We start from the raw sequence: 15,901 nt of genomic DNA on the forward strand, positions 1-15,901 counted from the left end.
ATAAATGGAATCCTACAGCCTGTATTTTTGTGTGAGGTTTCTTCAACTCAGTATGTTTTTGAGGTTCATCCATGTTGCGTGTATCAATAGTTTGTTCCCTTTTATTGATGAGCAATATTCTAATGTATAGATATGCAGTGGTTTGTTTAGCCATTTTCCTATTAACAGACACATGAGTTGAATCCATTGTTGGCTAAGCTATGGTGCACATTTTTATAAGTCTTTTTATAGATATATATTTTCATTTCTCCTGGGAAATTACCTGGTTGGGAAATTTTTGAATCAAAGGTTAGGTGTATCTTTTGTTTTATAGAAAATGATGGTTCCTGTTTCCAAAATGATCGTACCATTTTACATTCCTACTCACAGTGTCTAAGAGTTCTGGTTACTCCACATCCTTGCTAATATTTGATGTCAATCTTCTTTACTTCGGCCTTTCTGGTGGGTATGTAGTGGTATTTCATCATGGTTTTAATTTGCCTTTCCCACTTCCCTGATGATGTGGAAAGCTTTCCTTATGTTTGTTGGTTATTCATGGATCTTCTTTTATGAAGTATCTGATAATCATTTGCCAACTTTTTATCAGATCATTTTGGCATATTATCATAGAACTATAGGACTTTTTTTATAAATCTTGAAAACAAATCATTTGCCAGTACATATTTTGAAATGTTTTCTTTCAGTCTATAATCTACCTATTCAAGTTTTAAATTGTCTTTTAGAGGTTAAACTTTTTATTTTGCAATCACTGTTTCTCCAATGGATAACATCTTGAATATCTATGCTACAGTATCACAACTACTGACAACCATATAGTCAAAACCCAATGAAAAAAATAAATAATATATCTTAAAATATTCAAATAATCTCCAAAAAGCTAGAAAGAAGGAAGAGGAACACAATATTAAGGAGATTAATAAAAATGAATCATAAAATATAGACCTAACTAGATCGAATGTCTTTTCATTTTAATAGACTCAACAATTCATGATTATCCTAGTAAGTTTCTCAGAAGAAATCAATAAGCTGGTTCTAAACTGCATATAGAAAGGTAAAAGACCTAGAATAGGCAAAAATTTTTTTTAAGTTGGAATACTTACCTTGTCTGATTTTAGGACTTACTTTAAAGCTACACTTATAAAAGCAGTACGATATTGACCTAAGACCTACAGATCAATGAGACAGAACTCAGAAGGAGTATCAAAGTATCTTTGTTAATAAATAAAATTGAATTACCCCTAAGTAATTATATGGGGAAGGGAAGTTTTTTCCAAAAGATGGTGCTGAAACAACTACTTGTCCCACAAGGAAAAAAAAACAAAATCCAAGCCGTTTTTTTTCCCCCGCCTGTGGCAACATATAAAAAAAAACAAGTATTATGAAATACATCATAGACCTAACAGTAAAAGCCCAAATCATAAAATGTCTAAAAGAAAAAAAGGAGAAAACCTTTGTGATATTGGGTAAGATAAATATTTCTTAAACAGGCCACAAAGAATACAAACATAAAAGAAAAAAATAAACTAGATGCATTCTATCTAAATTTAAAAACATGAGCTCTTAAACATGGTTAAGAGAGCAAAAAGGCCAGACACAGACTGGGAGAAAATATTTTCAAAACACACATCAGGTAAAAAGTTTATATCTAGAACATATAGAGAATGCTTAGAACTCAATAATAAGACCGTCCTGAATTTTTTTAATGGGCAAAAGATTTAAACAGACATTTCATGAAAGAGGATCAACATCCAATACATGTGTGAAAAGATACCACCAGGCATTAGAGAAACATAAATTCAAATTGCAATGAGATATCACTACACACTCACTGGAAACAAATATTAAAAAGGCAGACAATACAAAGTGTTGGTGAGGATGTAGAACAACTAGTATCTCATAACTTGCTGGTTTCATTTGCACAGTGATACAATCACTTTGGTAAAAACATTTTGGCAGTATCTTATAAAAAGTTAAATGTTTACTTATCTTAGACATTTATCCAAGATAAATATTTTGTGTCACTTGAGTCAAAATAACTTATGTATATATGAATGATAGTAGCAGCATTATTAAGAAGCCAAAACTGGAAACACAAATATCATTCAACTAGTACAAAAAAGAAATTGTGACATATCCATATTAAGGACTATATTCAGCAATGAAAAGGAACAAACTGCAGGTACATGCACCAACATGCGTGAATTGTAATAGCATCATACTAAGTGAAATAAGTCAAGCATAAAGGTGATAAGAGGGCAGATCAGTAGCTGCCTGTGCATAGTAATCATCTGTGGAGGTAATCAACTGCAAGTGGACAAGAAAAAACCTTTTGAAGTAATGGAAATTACCTGATTGTGATATTGGTTACACAACTGTACACAACTGCCAACTTCATCAAAATGCACAAACTGGGACAATGTATTGTACCTAAATTATACCTCAAAAAAGTTAAGAACATACATATGAGAAATGTAATAAATCATAATATCAACAATAAAATCCCCTAATTATGAGACTATTTTGTTTTCCTCATAAGGGAAAAAATAATGAATGAGCAAGAGTCGCACCCATTCCTTCTTTCTACTAGAAATAAATGAATCAGTCTGGATGAAGTATTCATCAAAAATGATGCCATGCTATAATTGAGCATAAGAAGAGTACAAATTAAAGTTATTTATGTCTAAAATTTCCTTCCAAAGCTTCAAATGATTCAGAGGAAAAGAGAACATTGACATAATCATGTGAAATTCAATAGCTTTTTAGTCCTGGTTTCTCCATTTGGGTTATCTTTATTTTGGTGCTCTCTGAGGTCCTTTGTCAAATCCTCAGCCTCTCTCAAAAACAGTACACACTCCCTTCCCCCAAGTACTATCTAGACCTGTGGTGTAAGGGAAAGCCATCAATTGAAAGCTTCAGTATAACACTTTCACCGTTATTAAGTCATTGCTTCATTCATGTGAAAAAAAATTTAGTCAGTGCTTGAGTGTTAGGGGCAGCATGAGGAGGAATGAGGCTGTTCAGGAGTTACCTATGTAAGTACCAAGTGTAAATTAATGTGGGGGGATATAAAAGTATGCTTATATAAAATATTAAACGTATATGTCTGTCTTTGTTGAACAGTGACTATATGCCACAATTCTCTCATTTAGTGTTCCCAACAACCCTATCACCTAGGTTTATGCTTTTATCCCCATTTTACAGATGAGGAAATGGAGACACAAAAAAAGTAAGAAACTTGTCTGACCCATGCATAAACCAAACCCCCTGCTCTTTCGGCTGTGCAGCATAGACAACACAACCCTAGCAGAAATAAGGAAATGAGTAAGTGAAATGAAAGAAGAGGCATTGTTCCTGCCTTTCAGCAGCTCACAATCTTACAGTCTAACAATATAAAACAGGCCCTTGAGAGCTTCGAGAATAATGAGATGCCACACTGCGTGCATGTGTACGAGTACGTGTCTGTATGCGTAACAAGTAGGTTACTGACAGACATGTCAAAAGAGATAGATAATGAAAATACAATGGCCACAATTTGAAATTAGATATGCAAATTAAAGCCATTTCTCCCTACCTAGGAATTTTTCTGAGTTGCTGAGAAAATAGCAAAAATCGGATTGGGAATAGTTTTGCTTTATTTTCAAAATTATCTGTAATATTTCTTCTATTTATTGTAAACACCTTAATGATAGGTAGAATGCCATTTAAGCACTTTGAAGTCCCACAATGTGTTATTGAAGCTAACATGAAAATATTGCTTAAATGCTAATTGTGTTTGTGGACATGTTAAGTTTTTAAGAAACAGAAATAAGCAGGCATTTGCATTCTGATGCTTAAAAACCCCTGTTTAGGCCGGGCGCGGTGGCTCACGCCTGTAATCCCACACTTTGGGAGGCCGAGGCGGGCGGATCACGAGGTCAGGAGATCGACACCATCCTGGCTAACACGGTGAAACCCCGTCTCTACTAAAAATACAAAAAATTAGCCGGGCGTGGTAGCGGGCGCCTGTAGTCCCAGCTACTTGGGAGGCTGAGGCAGGAGAATGGCGTGAACCCGGGAGGCGGAGCTTGCAGTGAGCCGAGATCGCGCCACTGCACTCCAGCCTGGGCGACAGAGCGAGACTCCGTCTCAAAAAAAAAAAAAAACCCTGTTTAGTGTTTTAATCTAATGTTGATGTCACCTTTTCTCTAACATGTCTATTCCAACTAAATTCATATTAAATTTCAAATTCATAAGACAATGCAGAAAGCACAGGGTGTGCTTGTCACACGGGTGGCTTCAGGAAGAGCCATTTTAACCTAAAACCTGAGAGATTAGTCTAGACCCAGATAAAGAAAAAAGACAGAAGGAAAAGACAGAAACAAGGAAAGAGGGAGAAAGACAGGGAAGGAGGGAGAGCAGGAAGGAGGGAGAGAAAGGAGGAGGGAGGGAAGAAGAAAAAAAGGAAGAAAGAAAAGGAAGAAGGAGGGAAGGATTCCACTTTTCCAGACTCCTGAGGTTGGAGGAAAGGACCTTCCACCAGAAGTTTGTTCCTTATGTATCCATCGCTTCTGAACTTCATCTTGGCCATGGACTCTTAGTCAAATCATTAACCTCTTTGAGCCCTAATTTTCTCATCTGCAAATTACAGGTAATTGCAGTGATTCCAGTCTTTTCAGGCAAGACTTAACTGTGACAATATGTGTGAAAGCGATTGAAAGCCTCTAAAATATCTTACAAATATTCATCTATTGGGGGCCTGTGTGTTTAAATAGCATTGCCACTGCCAAGTTTTTGGGGAATAAGCATAGAACTTTACCCTGTGCAAAACTAAACTCCCCTGATTCCTCTCTGCAAGCAGCCCGAACGTTGGGAGATCCAGCAGGAAAGGAAAGCAACCCTCAGAATCAGGATGGAACGTGATGCCAAAGATGGGAGGAGAGTGGAAGCAGGGAGAGCTGGACTGAGAGACTGTTTAACGTTCAAAACCAGTGCCAAGCTAAATTAGAAACAGGAGTCTACATACCTGTAACTTACCTCATCGGTATATAATTTGTAACCTGAGATCCCCTCACAGAGAAGTAAAAATAGCAAGGCTCTCAAGCAGACTTCTGCTCTGCTGAGTGCAAGGGCAGGGTGAGGGAGGGCCAGCACTGGGGAAAGATAAAAGGGCCAAGGCAGAGAATGCCAATCATGTGGTCTTGGCAAGAACACCTTCTCTCCTATACCCTGGGTGATGGTATGGAGAATATAGCCAAGAGAGGTGACATCAGGAGGCTGACAAGCAAACCTTCCAGGCAGAGGAGGACCTGTTGCCCTAGAGTCACCTGTTTTTGGTTTTTGTCATAGGTCGTATGACATTTCCTCAAAGGGAAGTGTCACTGAAGTTCTGAGCCTGCCTAATCCTGCCATGATCAAGGCAAGTTAACTAGTCCAGGAAACGCCAGTACTCAGGCAGGTGCAGAACAGATGAGTCTGTTTTCAAGTTTTGTAGCTGGCTCCCAACACCCTGGAAGAGATGATTTGCTGCATAGTTGTCTCACTCTCTGTGAACACATTTTTCCCTCACTGGGTCAGTGAGCTTGGGAATCTTCAGAGAACAGTTAGCTTCCTTCCTTCAATTTAGGGTATAGTCCCTCTCAAATCAAGTCTATGCCATTTTAACATCACCAATTGTGCAAGTGATAGAGGAAAGCTTTGTCCTTCCTTAACTCCTGCTACATGGAAAAAGTGACAAAGTAGAAAGGAGAGGAAGCTTATTTTTTAATTAATCACATCAAAAAAATGGGCATGTCTCTGCATTCTTTGTAATGATTATATATTGAAAGCTATTAATATAACAAATGCAATACTGAGAATTTCTAATGTGGAATCAACACCATCTTTGTAAAGGAAACCTTACTTGTATTATTTTTAAAAAGGAAGAAGAAGAATCATCATCATCATCATCATCAGAGATGTTAGATCTCGGAATGGTCCCACAATTTCAAATTCTCTAAAAAAAAAAACCAAAACAAAGAAACCCAACCCAAGATATTAAACTAAATAATCAGTGCCCATTGGCTAGGCAAATTGCTCTCTAATGTTTCAAATATGTTTTTGTGTTAATTTGTAAAACTCTGTTCATGTAAATGGGTTTTGTTCATTCGTTTTGCAAGAATTCAAATATTCTTCCAGTTACCATTTGAAGAGAAGGTAATTTTTGTTTCAAACTGCCTCCTGTTCATAAATAGGTTCATCAGGTCTTATTTATTACGAAGAATCAAGACAGAACTGCAAGCTCTTCATGGCTTTCCTAAAAGAAAGCAACCAGGAACAACACAACAGAGTAGAAACAAAGAAGAAGTGGGGCTATCCAAACCTGGCTTTGAATCCTGGCTTTGCTCTATAAGAAATGTAACACCTGAGAGACTTAAATAACTTTTCTGAGCCTCACTCAATTGCCTTTCCTATAGTAATGGGAACAGTAGTGCCTACCATACTGGGTTATTTTAATGATTTGGTAAAATGGCATATGTCAAAGCCCCTAGAAAGAAACTGTCCAATAGAAATATCACGCAAGCCACATATGTCATTTTCTAGTAGCCACATTTTAAAAAGGCAAAAAGAAACTGGGAAAATTAATTATAACAACATATTTTCTTTAATCCAATATATTCAAAATATTATCATATCAAAACCCAATCAGTAGAAAAGCTTATGTTAATGAAATATTTTACATTCATTTTTTTTCTATGAAGTCTTCAAAAGCCAGTGTGTATTTCACACTTACAATACACCTTAATTTGGACACTAAATTTTCATAGGAAATGCTTGATCTATATTTAGATTTCTTAAGATTTTCAGTTGAAAAAACAGATTCACATACCCAGGTTGTTCCAAAAGTACTTAAAGTTTTCCAAAAACTGAACCAAGTATCAGTGTTTTAAATTTAAAATAATCAAGATTAAACAAAATTTAAAAGTCAGTTCCTCAGCCACACTAGCCCCCTTTTAAGTGCCTAATATCCACATGTATCTAGTGGCTACTGCATTGGACCTTGAAGCCCTAGAGCAATGTCTGGCACTTAGTAAGTGCCCAGTGAATGACATATTTTCTTCTGCCCACTAATATCTTATTTTAATCCAAAATTTGCTTAGCACTGAAGTTTCAACTTTGAAAGTAATGTGAATACCAACTATGACAGGCTTTCCCTAGCCTGGGAACCAAGCACTGAGGTGGCATAATTTCCATTTGCCATTCCACAAATCACCCAAAATGATCTTGTGGAACTGCAACCATCAATCCGCTCTAGTTTTTTAATGCATTTCAGTACTCCATATTGTTCATACCACACCCTCATGGTTTGTCATATCTCAGATGACAAATAATAATATGAAAGTCTCCATCGCATGCAAAATATGAAAATACCAGTGAAAGAATCAGCTTCACCACTCAAACTCTACTCCTTTGGAAATCTGTGAATTTTGGGGCTAATCAAAATATCTATGTGCCCATAGCCAGAACAATTAGGCCAGATAAATAGACAGATAAACAGCATCCAAGTAGGAAAGGGAGAAGGGAAATTGTCACTGTTTGCTGATGTCATGATATTATACATGGAAAACTCTAAAGATTCCACCAGAAAACAAAAAAAAAACTGTTAGAATTGGTAAGTAGATTCAGGAAAACTGCAGGATACAAAACCAATATACGAAAATCAGTAGCATTTCTATATACTAACAATGAGCTACCTGAAAAAGAAATTAAGAAAACAATCCCATTCAGAATGGCGTCAAGTAAAATAAAAATAAAACATCTAGAAGTAAATTTAACCAAGGAGGTGAAAGATTTGTATGCTGAAAACAGTAAAACGTTGATGAAAGAAATCAAAGAAGACACAAATTAATGAAAAAATATCCCATGTTCATGGGTTGGAAGAATTAATATTGTTAAAATATCCATACTACCCAAAGCAATGTACAGGTTCAATGTAATGTCTATCCAAATACTCATAATAGTTTCACAGAAATAGAAAAAAAAATCCTAAAATTGTATGTAACCACCAAAAACTTTGAATATCCAAAGCAGTCTTAAGCAAAAAGAATAAAGCCAGAGGCCTCATACCACCTAACTTTAGAATATATTGCAAAACTATAATAATCAAAACAGCATCATACTGGCATAAAAACAGATACAAAAGTGCCAAGAGCACACAATGGAAAAAAGGGCAGTAGTTTTAGGAAAGCTAGATATCCACATGCAGAAGAATGAAACTGGACTCCTATCTCATACCTAATGCAGGGATTAAACACTTGAGCACAAGACCTGAAACTGCCACACTATTACAAGAAAATACAAGGCAAAAGCTCTACAACATTGGTCTGGGCAATAATTTTGTCAATATGACCCCAAAAGCACAGGTAACAAAAGCAAAAATAGACAAATGGGATTATATCAAATTAAAAAGCCTATGCACAACAAAGTAAACAATTACCAGAGCAAAAAGACAACCCACAGATTGGGAGAAAATATTTCCAAACCAAATATCAAATACAGGGATAATATTAAAAATATATAAGGAACTAAAACAACTTAATAGCAAGAAATCAAATAACTCTATTTTAAAAATAGGCAAAAGACCAGAATAGACATTTCTCAAAAGACATACAAATGGCCAACAGACATAGGAGAAATGCTCAACATCATGAATCATCAGGGATATGCAAATTAAAACCACAATGAGATATTATGTCATAACTGTTGGAATGGCTATTCTCAAAGGTGAAATATGGCAAGTGCTGGCAAGGATGTGGAGAAAAAGGAACCTTGGAACGTTGTTGACAAAAATGTAAATTAGTACAGCCATTGTGTAAAATGCTATCGCAGTTCCTCAGTAAACTAAAAATAGAATCATCATTAGATCCAGCAATCTCACTACTGGGTATATATCCAAAGGAACTGAAATCAGTATGTTGAAGAGACATCTGCATTCCCATGTTCATTGCAGCATTATTCATAAACGCTAAGATGCGGAATCAACCTAAGTGTCCATCAACGGATGAGTGGATAAAGAAAATTCTGTATACATACACAATGTAATGCTATTCAGCCTTAAAAAAAAAAAGTCCTATCATTTGTGACAATATGGATGAACCTGGAAGACACTATGATAAGTAAAATAAGGCTGAAAAAGACAGACAAACACTATATGATCTCACTTACATGGGGAAGCTAAAAAAGTCAAATTTACAGAAGTATTTAAGTCAAATTTATATAATGAGGGTTACCAAAGGTTGGGAGTGAGGGAATGGGGAAGACATTGACCAAAGGGTACAAAATTTCAGTTAGACAGAAGGAATACAAACAGCATGATGACCATTGTAAATAACAATGTATTATATATTTTTAAACTGCTACAATAATAGATTTTACAAGTGTTCACTAAAAATATCTGAGGAGATGATATATTAATTAGCTTGACACACAATCATTTCACAATTATCAAAACATCACATTGTACTCCATAAATAAAAAATATATAGCCATGTGCCAATTTAAGAAATCCATAATTCACCTTTATAAAACATCTCCTCCCTGGAATTGTACAAAGAGCTTTTTGAATGCCACAGCTGTTAGTCCAAAGCTTTCTGAGCCATGAATATCTGACCTGCTTTCAAGAAGGCAGGCCAGTAAAAGAACTAAACCCCACTCTGCTTTTTTTTTTTTTAATTCCTTAAGGATGTAGAAATCTGAGAAAAAAATTAATGGAAGATTCAAATGTTTGGACTAGATGTGTAATCACAGTCCATGGTTCTTGCACCAAGAATGTGCACTGAGTTGTGAGGACCCAGATACTTTCCCCAGATCTCCACAAAAGGCAGTGTTAGGTCTGTCAGATGATCCAAAATCCACGGCACAGTGGTTAATAACTTCTTAGGTGTAATGAATATCTGCTCTTGCTGCCTACCCAGTATCCCTTCCCCATACCATTGATAACATTGCCCTGTTCCTTCAGGGTAAGTAACCTTTTATTGGACATAGACTGCTGGGATTCTCAATTAAATTGTCCTTTCCTCTCTGTCAACAAGTATGTGTTTGGCCAAAACCAAGCCAATCAATTTCTCTCTTCTTGAAATTTGAATCTTGAACAAAGTGTCACAAGGATTCATAATGGCTAGAACTTTTTCTTTCTGACATCTTGACATCCTAGCCTTAAAGAGTCTATAAGTTCTGTCTCTAGATTTCAAAAGCTTCCTTGCTTCTTCTTTCCAAGGACTGGTCTTACTTCATTTCGAGCTTTTTATTCAATCCCATAGTTCCATAGCCTTCAATAAATTCCCTGTTTTTCCATTCCTGACATTACCTAGAGTCTGTTTGTTGCTTGAACCCAAACATTCCTATCTGAAATAATAGGTAATGTTCTATTATCAAACATGAATTCTCTCAGGCCCATGGCTGCTTGGCCAAAATGAACTTGCTGCTCTTTCTCCGATTATTCAGACAGAGAGATGCCTGTTAATGAGCTCATGAAGTTGAGTAACAGTTTCAGACAATTGCTTTGCAGACTCCCAAGGGCCCTAATTAGAATCCTTTATTTGTCTCCAACTGAGGCAACCTTCACTGTGGAGGTGGGGATTTTTGAAGGACATGAAGAAAGTCTTCAGATTATTTTGACCTGAGAAAAACCCTTTGGCGTGATTCTAACTGATAAGATTGTAAAATACAGCCATATTGCAAAATCAAGTATTACTGAGCTAGACCCCAGGCAAATAGTTTTTCCATTTTTAGGGCAAATTATCCTCAATATTAAATTCCTTACTGATGTTTCACCTCCTTGCTAATTTTTATTTTTCTTTATCAAGTTGTGTGGGCTTTTATATTTCTTCTTTGGCAGTTCTATGACTTCCTAAAATAATTGCTGAAAAAGAAATATAAAAGGCCATTCAACTTGATAAAAACAGTCAAGCTGCCTATACTATCTGAAACAAAAAATGTGCACAATGAAATGTAAATATTGTTGACAGTCAATGGCTTCTATGTATAGAATACAGTGTGACTGTTAATGATGGAAAAATATTTGTGTGCTCAGAGAAATACAGGCCAATTGTTCTGCAAGCATGTTACAAAACTACTTCCAAAAGTTATACATAGTACAGGGTATAAGCCAATTTTTTGGCAGTCTACATTACCAGGGATCATTTTTAAATTAAATCTCATAATTCTATTGCTGTCCTCTGCCACCATTCATATTTCCTCAGGAATGATTTTCCTCCAAAACATTATTACCAGCTCCCATATATCAGTTCTCTGTGTTGATCTTGAGATCAAGCCACAGGTTTTTCCCCTTCCTCATTAGCAAAAGACTTGCTTGGCCTTGGGATAACCCATCTCTTGCCACATTCTCCCAGTATATTGTTTATGCCTTTTTTAACAAGAAATATACATTTGGAGGTTCAATAAATTCTTTCAGGGCACTCAGGTCACATTTGAAATCCTAATGAAGTAATGTGCAGAGCTGAAGCCCAGTGACCTATAAAGGTGAGTTCAGCCTTGCATAGTTTTCCCCGGAGAGTAACAGCTACACAGGCCTGACTTAGGCAATGAAAGAATGCTGTCCATAATGTTTCCCATTACTCTTATGTATCTTATGCATTAGTGTCATTCTTAGGGACTAAGGTAAAATGACATTCTGATATTGGAAAAACACATTATGGAATAGTTTATCTAAAGCACTTTGTATAAACAATAAAATAATTAAGTATTCACCTACAAAAAAGATGCAGTTGTTTCATTATTATTTGTCAAAAAATGTGAAGGGCCTGAGATTTTACTCAACTTGCAAGCTTACAAATTAGCCTGGTACAGTTTCATGGATGCTGGCAGAAGACACAAGACTTTTGAGTCAGAGACAAAGACGTTTATTATTCACAGCACAGAAAGCAGCAAGAACAATATATTTGTAAATTTCCCTTGTCCCCCAGTATCACGGGAGCAACACAAATGGTTCTAGTGGGTTTTGTTGTAGAAGTAGAAGCTCATGCTTAGGGAAACCATATCTTTTATAATGGGCAGTATACTGTACTGTAGGGAAAGATGCCCTAAGTGACCTATGCCCAATTTTCTAAAAAAAAAATTAGAGATTGCTTTTAGATAAATAGTAACCAAAAGTAGACAATAGCTATTTAGGCTTAGTTCTCAATAAGAAATCTATTACTTAGCCTTCCCACCCAGGGCAACATCATCTAAAATGTAATTGTCACTAGAATCAGGAATCTCTATTTAAGGACAACTGCAGAGCTTTTTTTAAAAAAAAAAAATTCAAGATATTAAATATATTCTTTGTGAATGACTTAACTACCTTATAAAATGAACTATAAATGACTTACTGAAAACATAGATATATTTTCCACTTATTATGGGCATAGCACAGCAATCACTGTGCTGAGTACTTTCTATACATTATTTTATTAAATCCTTCTAAAATTACTGGGTGTTATTATCTTTATTGTTGACATGAAAAAAAACAAGACTCACAGAATAAACTGCTCAGTACATCTATAAATGGCAGGATCAGGATTTGAACAGTGGTCTGGCCAACCCCAAATTCAGGTGCTTATCTGCTGTACTACATTGTGTCTTCAAATAATTACCTAGTGCTTAAATGTATATGGACACACAGAAAAACACAATACAATATGGGGGTCTGTTGTAAACTATCAATTCTGTCTCTCTAAGGTATTGGTAAAACCCTTAATCAGGATCAGGCAGTGTCATATCTTAGTTCTGCTACTCAGAACTGAGCTGGAACTGAAGATCTTCACTTTAATCTCATTCCTATATGCTTAGGGCTGCAATGAGACAAAGATATTCCATGCAGATATGCCCAATAAAAATGCTACCATATATACTGGATTTTTAAAATGTAGATATACACAATGAAGTACTATGCAGACATAAAAAAGAATGAGATCATGTTCTTTGCAGGAACATGGATGGAGCTGGAGGCCATTATCCTAAGTGAACTAACTCGGGAACAAAAAACCAAATACTGCATGTTCTCACTTATAAGTGGGATCTAAGCTTTGAATACATACGGACACAAAGAAGGGAGCAATAGTTACTGGGGCCTACTTGAGGGTGGAGGATGGGAGGAGGGTGAGGATCAGAAAACTACCTATTGGGTACTATGCGGATGACCTGAGTGACAAAATAATCTGTACACCAAACCCCCACAACATGCAGTTTACCTATATAACAAACCTGCACATGTACCCCTGAGCCTAAAGTAAAAGTTAAAAAAAATGCTACCAGATCTTACAATCTAGAGAATAAGTTTCCTGTAGCTCATTGGCCAAAATCAACTTACCGATTTTTCTTAACTAGTACAAATTTAACTAGCTATCCAGTAATAGATTTAGATAGCCTGTGTTCCGGATCATGTTTTGATCATCTTTGACCAATAAATTCCCATCCCTTTCTGATCTACACTGGCCCCTTGCAAATGATCTCATGTTTGTCTAAGAGGTGGTACATCAAACGCAAAAGTTAACATTGTATTGGAAACAGGGTGAGGTGGGAACCAACGTCACAGGATATTTCTTCATAAAAACAATTTAATAGAAGCTGACCCTAAACCTTGATTAACATGGAGGGTAGCTCTTAAATTCTTTGTTGTAATGCCAGACCACTACAGGTCAACAGAAACAAAGCAAACATCCCTACAGGCAAAAAATGAAAACTATCACTTCCAAGAACAAGAGCCATGCCTTAGTAAGAGAAAAATATTCTTTCATCATCATGGTTAAATAGTCTTGCCTTCAAGAAAAAAAATAATGTTTACCCTTGAGAAAATGTTTATTTAATAGCTCAACTAGTAAAGGAACTAGCATTGGAAAGTTTGCAAAGAAACTTGCCTTTGTATCCATGCTTACCATTGCTCACGAGACTGAAATCCATCCTTCTTCTCTGCCTGCCCCCACTTTGGGGAACAGCAAGAAGTATTACCCTTTTGGCCAAAGTACAGGGTGCTATTCAGTATTTCCAGATTCACAAAAGGGCAAGACTTTGTGCTATGAAAGAAGTGGCAATGTCTCTAGGAAGTCTTTAGGAATATCACAGTGAGAGACTTTAAAAGTAAGCATATGGAGCATGAGTATAAACATTAAAGCAGGAAAGCCTGGAATGTGAGAGATCCCCGTAGAGGGTCATCTACTTGTGAAGAGCTAAGGCTTAGGGAGTCTTTCCTTTGAGATGGAAGAGAAAATTGAGTTAGCTAGACTTGTAGTCTTTGTTTTTTTCTATATTATAATATCTCTCTAAATTGTCCTAACCCTTCAGTAAAGAACTTTGCACGTGTCTATGAAATGTGATGGGTAAGACTTTTGGATACTGAAATAACAAGGCTCACCCCATTTCCTCCCAGACTTGAACGTAGAAGGGAATTGTGCCCCTCAGGTGGCTCTGAATCACAGACATCAGTTAGTAATGATTCTGGATCCTGCAATCCTATTCTGCGGGCAACAACCTATGAATGGTCCCAAGCCTGCTGGAGGCAGCTTTTGCAACAGGGCCTCACTGACCTCCAGGCTACATCCCCAAAGATCAAAATCCAGCTTTTAAAGTGCACAGTGTGCGGGCCGGGCGCGGTGGCTCAGGCCTGTAATCCCAGCACTTTGGGAGGCCGAGGCGGGCGGATCACGAGGTCAGGAGATCGAGACCATCCTGGCTAACACGGTGAAACCCCGTCTCTACTAAAAATACAAAAAATTAGCCGGGCGCGGTGGCGGGCGCCTGTAGTCCCAGCTACTCGGGGGAGGGGGCTGAGGCAGGAGAATGGCGTGAACCCGGGAGGCGGAGCTTGCAGTGAGCCGAGACTGCGCCACTGCACTCCAGCCTGGGCGACAGAGCAAGACTCCGTCTCAAAAAATAAAAAAAAAAAAATTAAAAAAAAAAAAAATAAATAAAATAAAGTGCACAGTGTGCTTATTATTGTTGTAATCCTTTCTGCCCCTGTTTGCCATTACATTCATTTGTGCCAACACTGGGTGTGCAAAGTGGTGAAAACCAGAAATGATGGGCAGCAAATGCCCCATTTTCCAATAGGAGATACTTTAAGGAACCATTTGCCCTTTGCCAGGAAGAAAATGACTTTCTGGAATACTTCTTATCGGTTCTCTGAGATAGTTCATTTAATTGCCTCATGTAAATCTGTGTGTATGTGTGTGCACATGTGTGTTTTACAGAGAAAGCATAGATTAATGAAGGAAATGATTAAGAAAAAGAAGACAACAAAAAGCTAACATTTACTATCTTTTTAGGTGCCTTATTTATATTAGCTGATTTAATGGTCATCTCAAACAATCACTAGTATGCCCATTTGAAAGACAAAACGAAAAAGGCTCAGACATATTAGATAATGTGCCAAAATTCATATGACTACTCAAGGCAAATGCACGATTTAAACTGAGTTCTGAGTCCGCACCCTTTGCTATTTTCCAAAACTGCATGAATGTGTTTTGTAAACCATAGATATAAAATATTCCATGAAGGTGGGCTCTGCTGAACATATCTTTGGAGAGTTTTTCAGGAAACTGAGAAGAGAGATTTGGAGCTAGCCTAAGGGATTAAATGATTTCTGACAGACATACAACAACCCCAGCCTCCCTACAGATTAAGGAAGTGCTTGACCTCCATAGCAAGTTCCAGATCATGACCAGTTTTCCCTCAAGCAAACCAATCCTCACTAAAAGAACTCCAGGGGCTTATCAGGTGACCTAAAATTTCTAACCCAGGACAGAAAAAGTCAGCAAAATCTAGGGCCAGAGGCAGGTATGAGAATGTCTAGGGCAGTATTGTTACCAGATCTTTTCCCTAGGCACTGAGAGTGTCACACAACTCTGCAGTTAACAATATTTAACTACTATCTACCAGGGTTCTGGGGATC

General features: G+C 36.9%; 1 long non-coding RNA gene across 2 annotated transcripts in view; it reads right to left on the minus strand.

The window, feature by feature from the left end:
• The window catches only part of LOC101929507 (uncharacterized), a 203,870-nt gene that overhangs the window by 20,719 nt on the left and 167,250 nt on the right, over positions 1-15,901 (minus strand). The gene's annotated exons all lie outside the window — the stretch shown is intronic.

Source organism: Homo sapiens, chromosome 9 (genome assembly GCF_000001405.40).
Source record: "Homo sapiens chromosome 9, GRCh38.p14 Primary Assembly".
NCBI classification, from domain to species: Eukaryota; Metazoa; Chordata; class Mammalia; order Primates; family Hominidae; genus Homo; species Homo sapiens.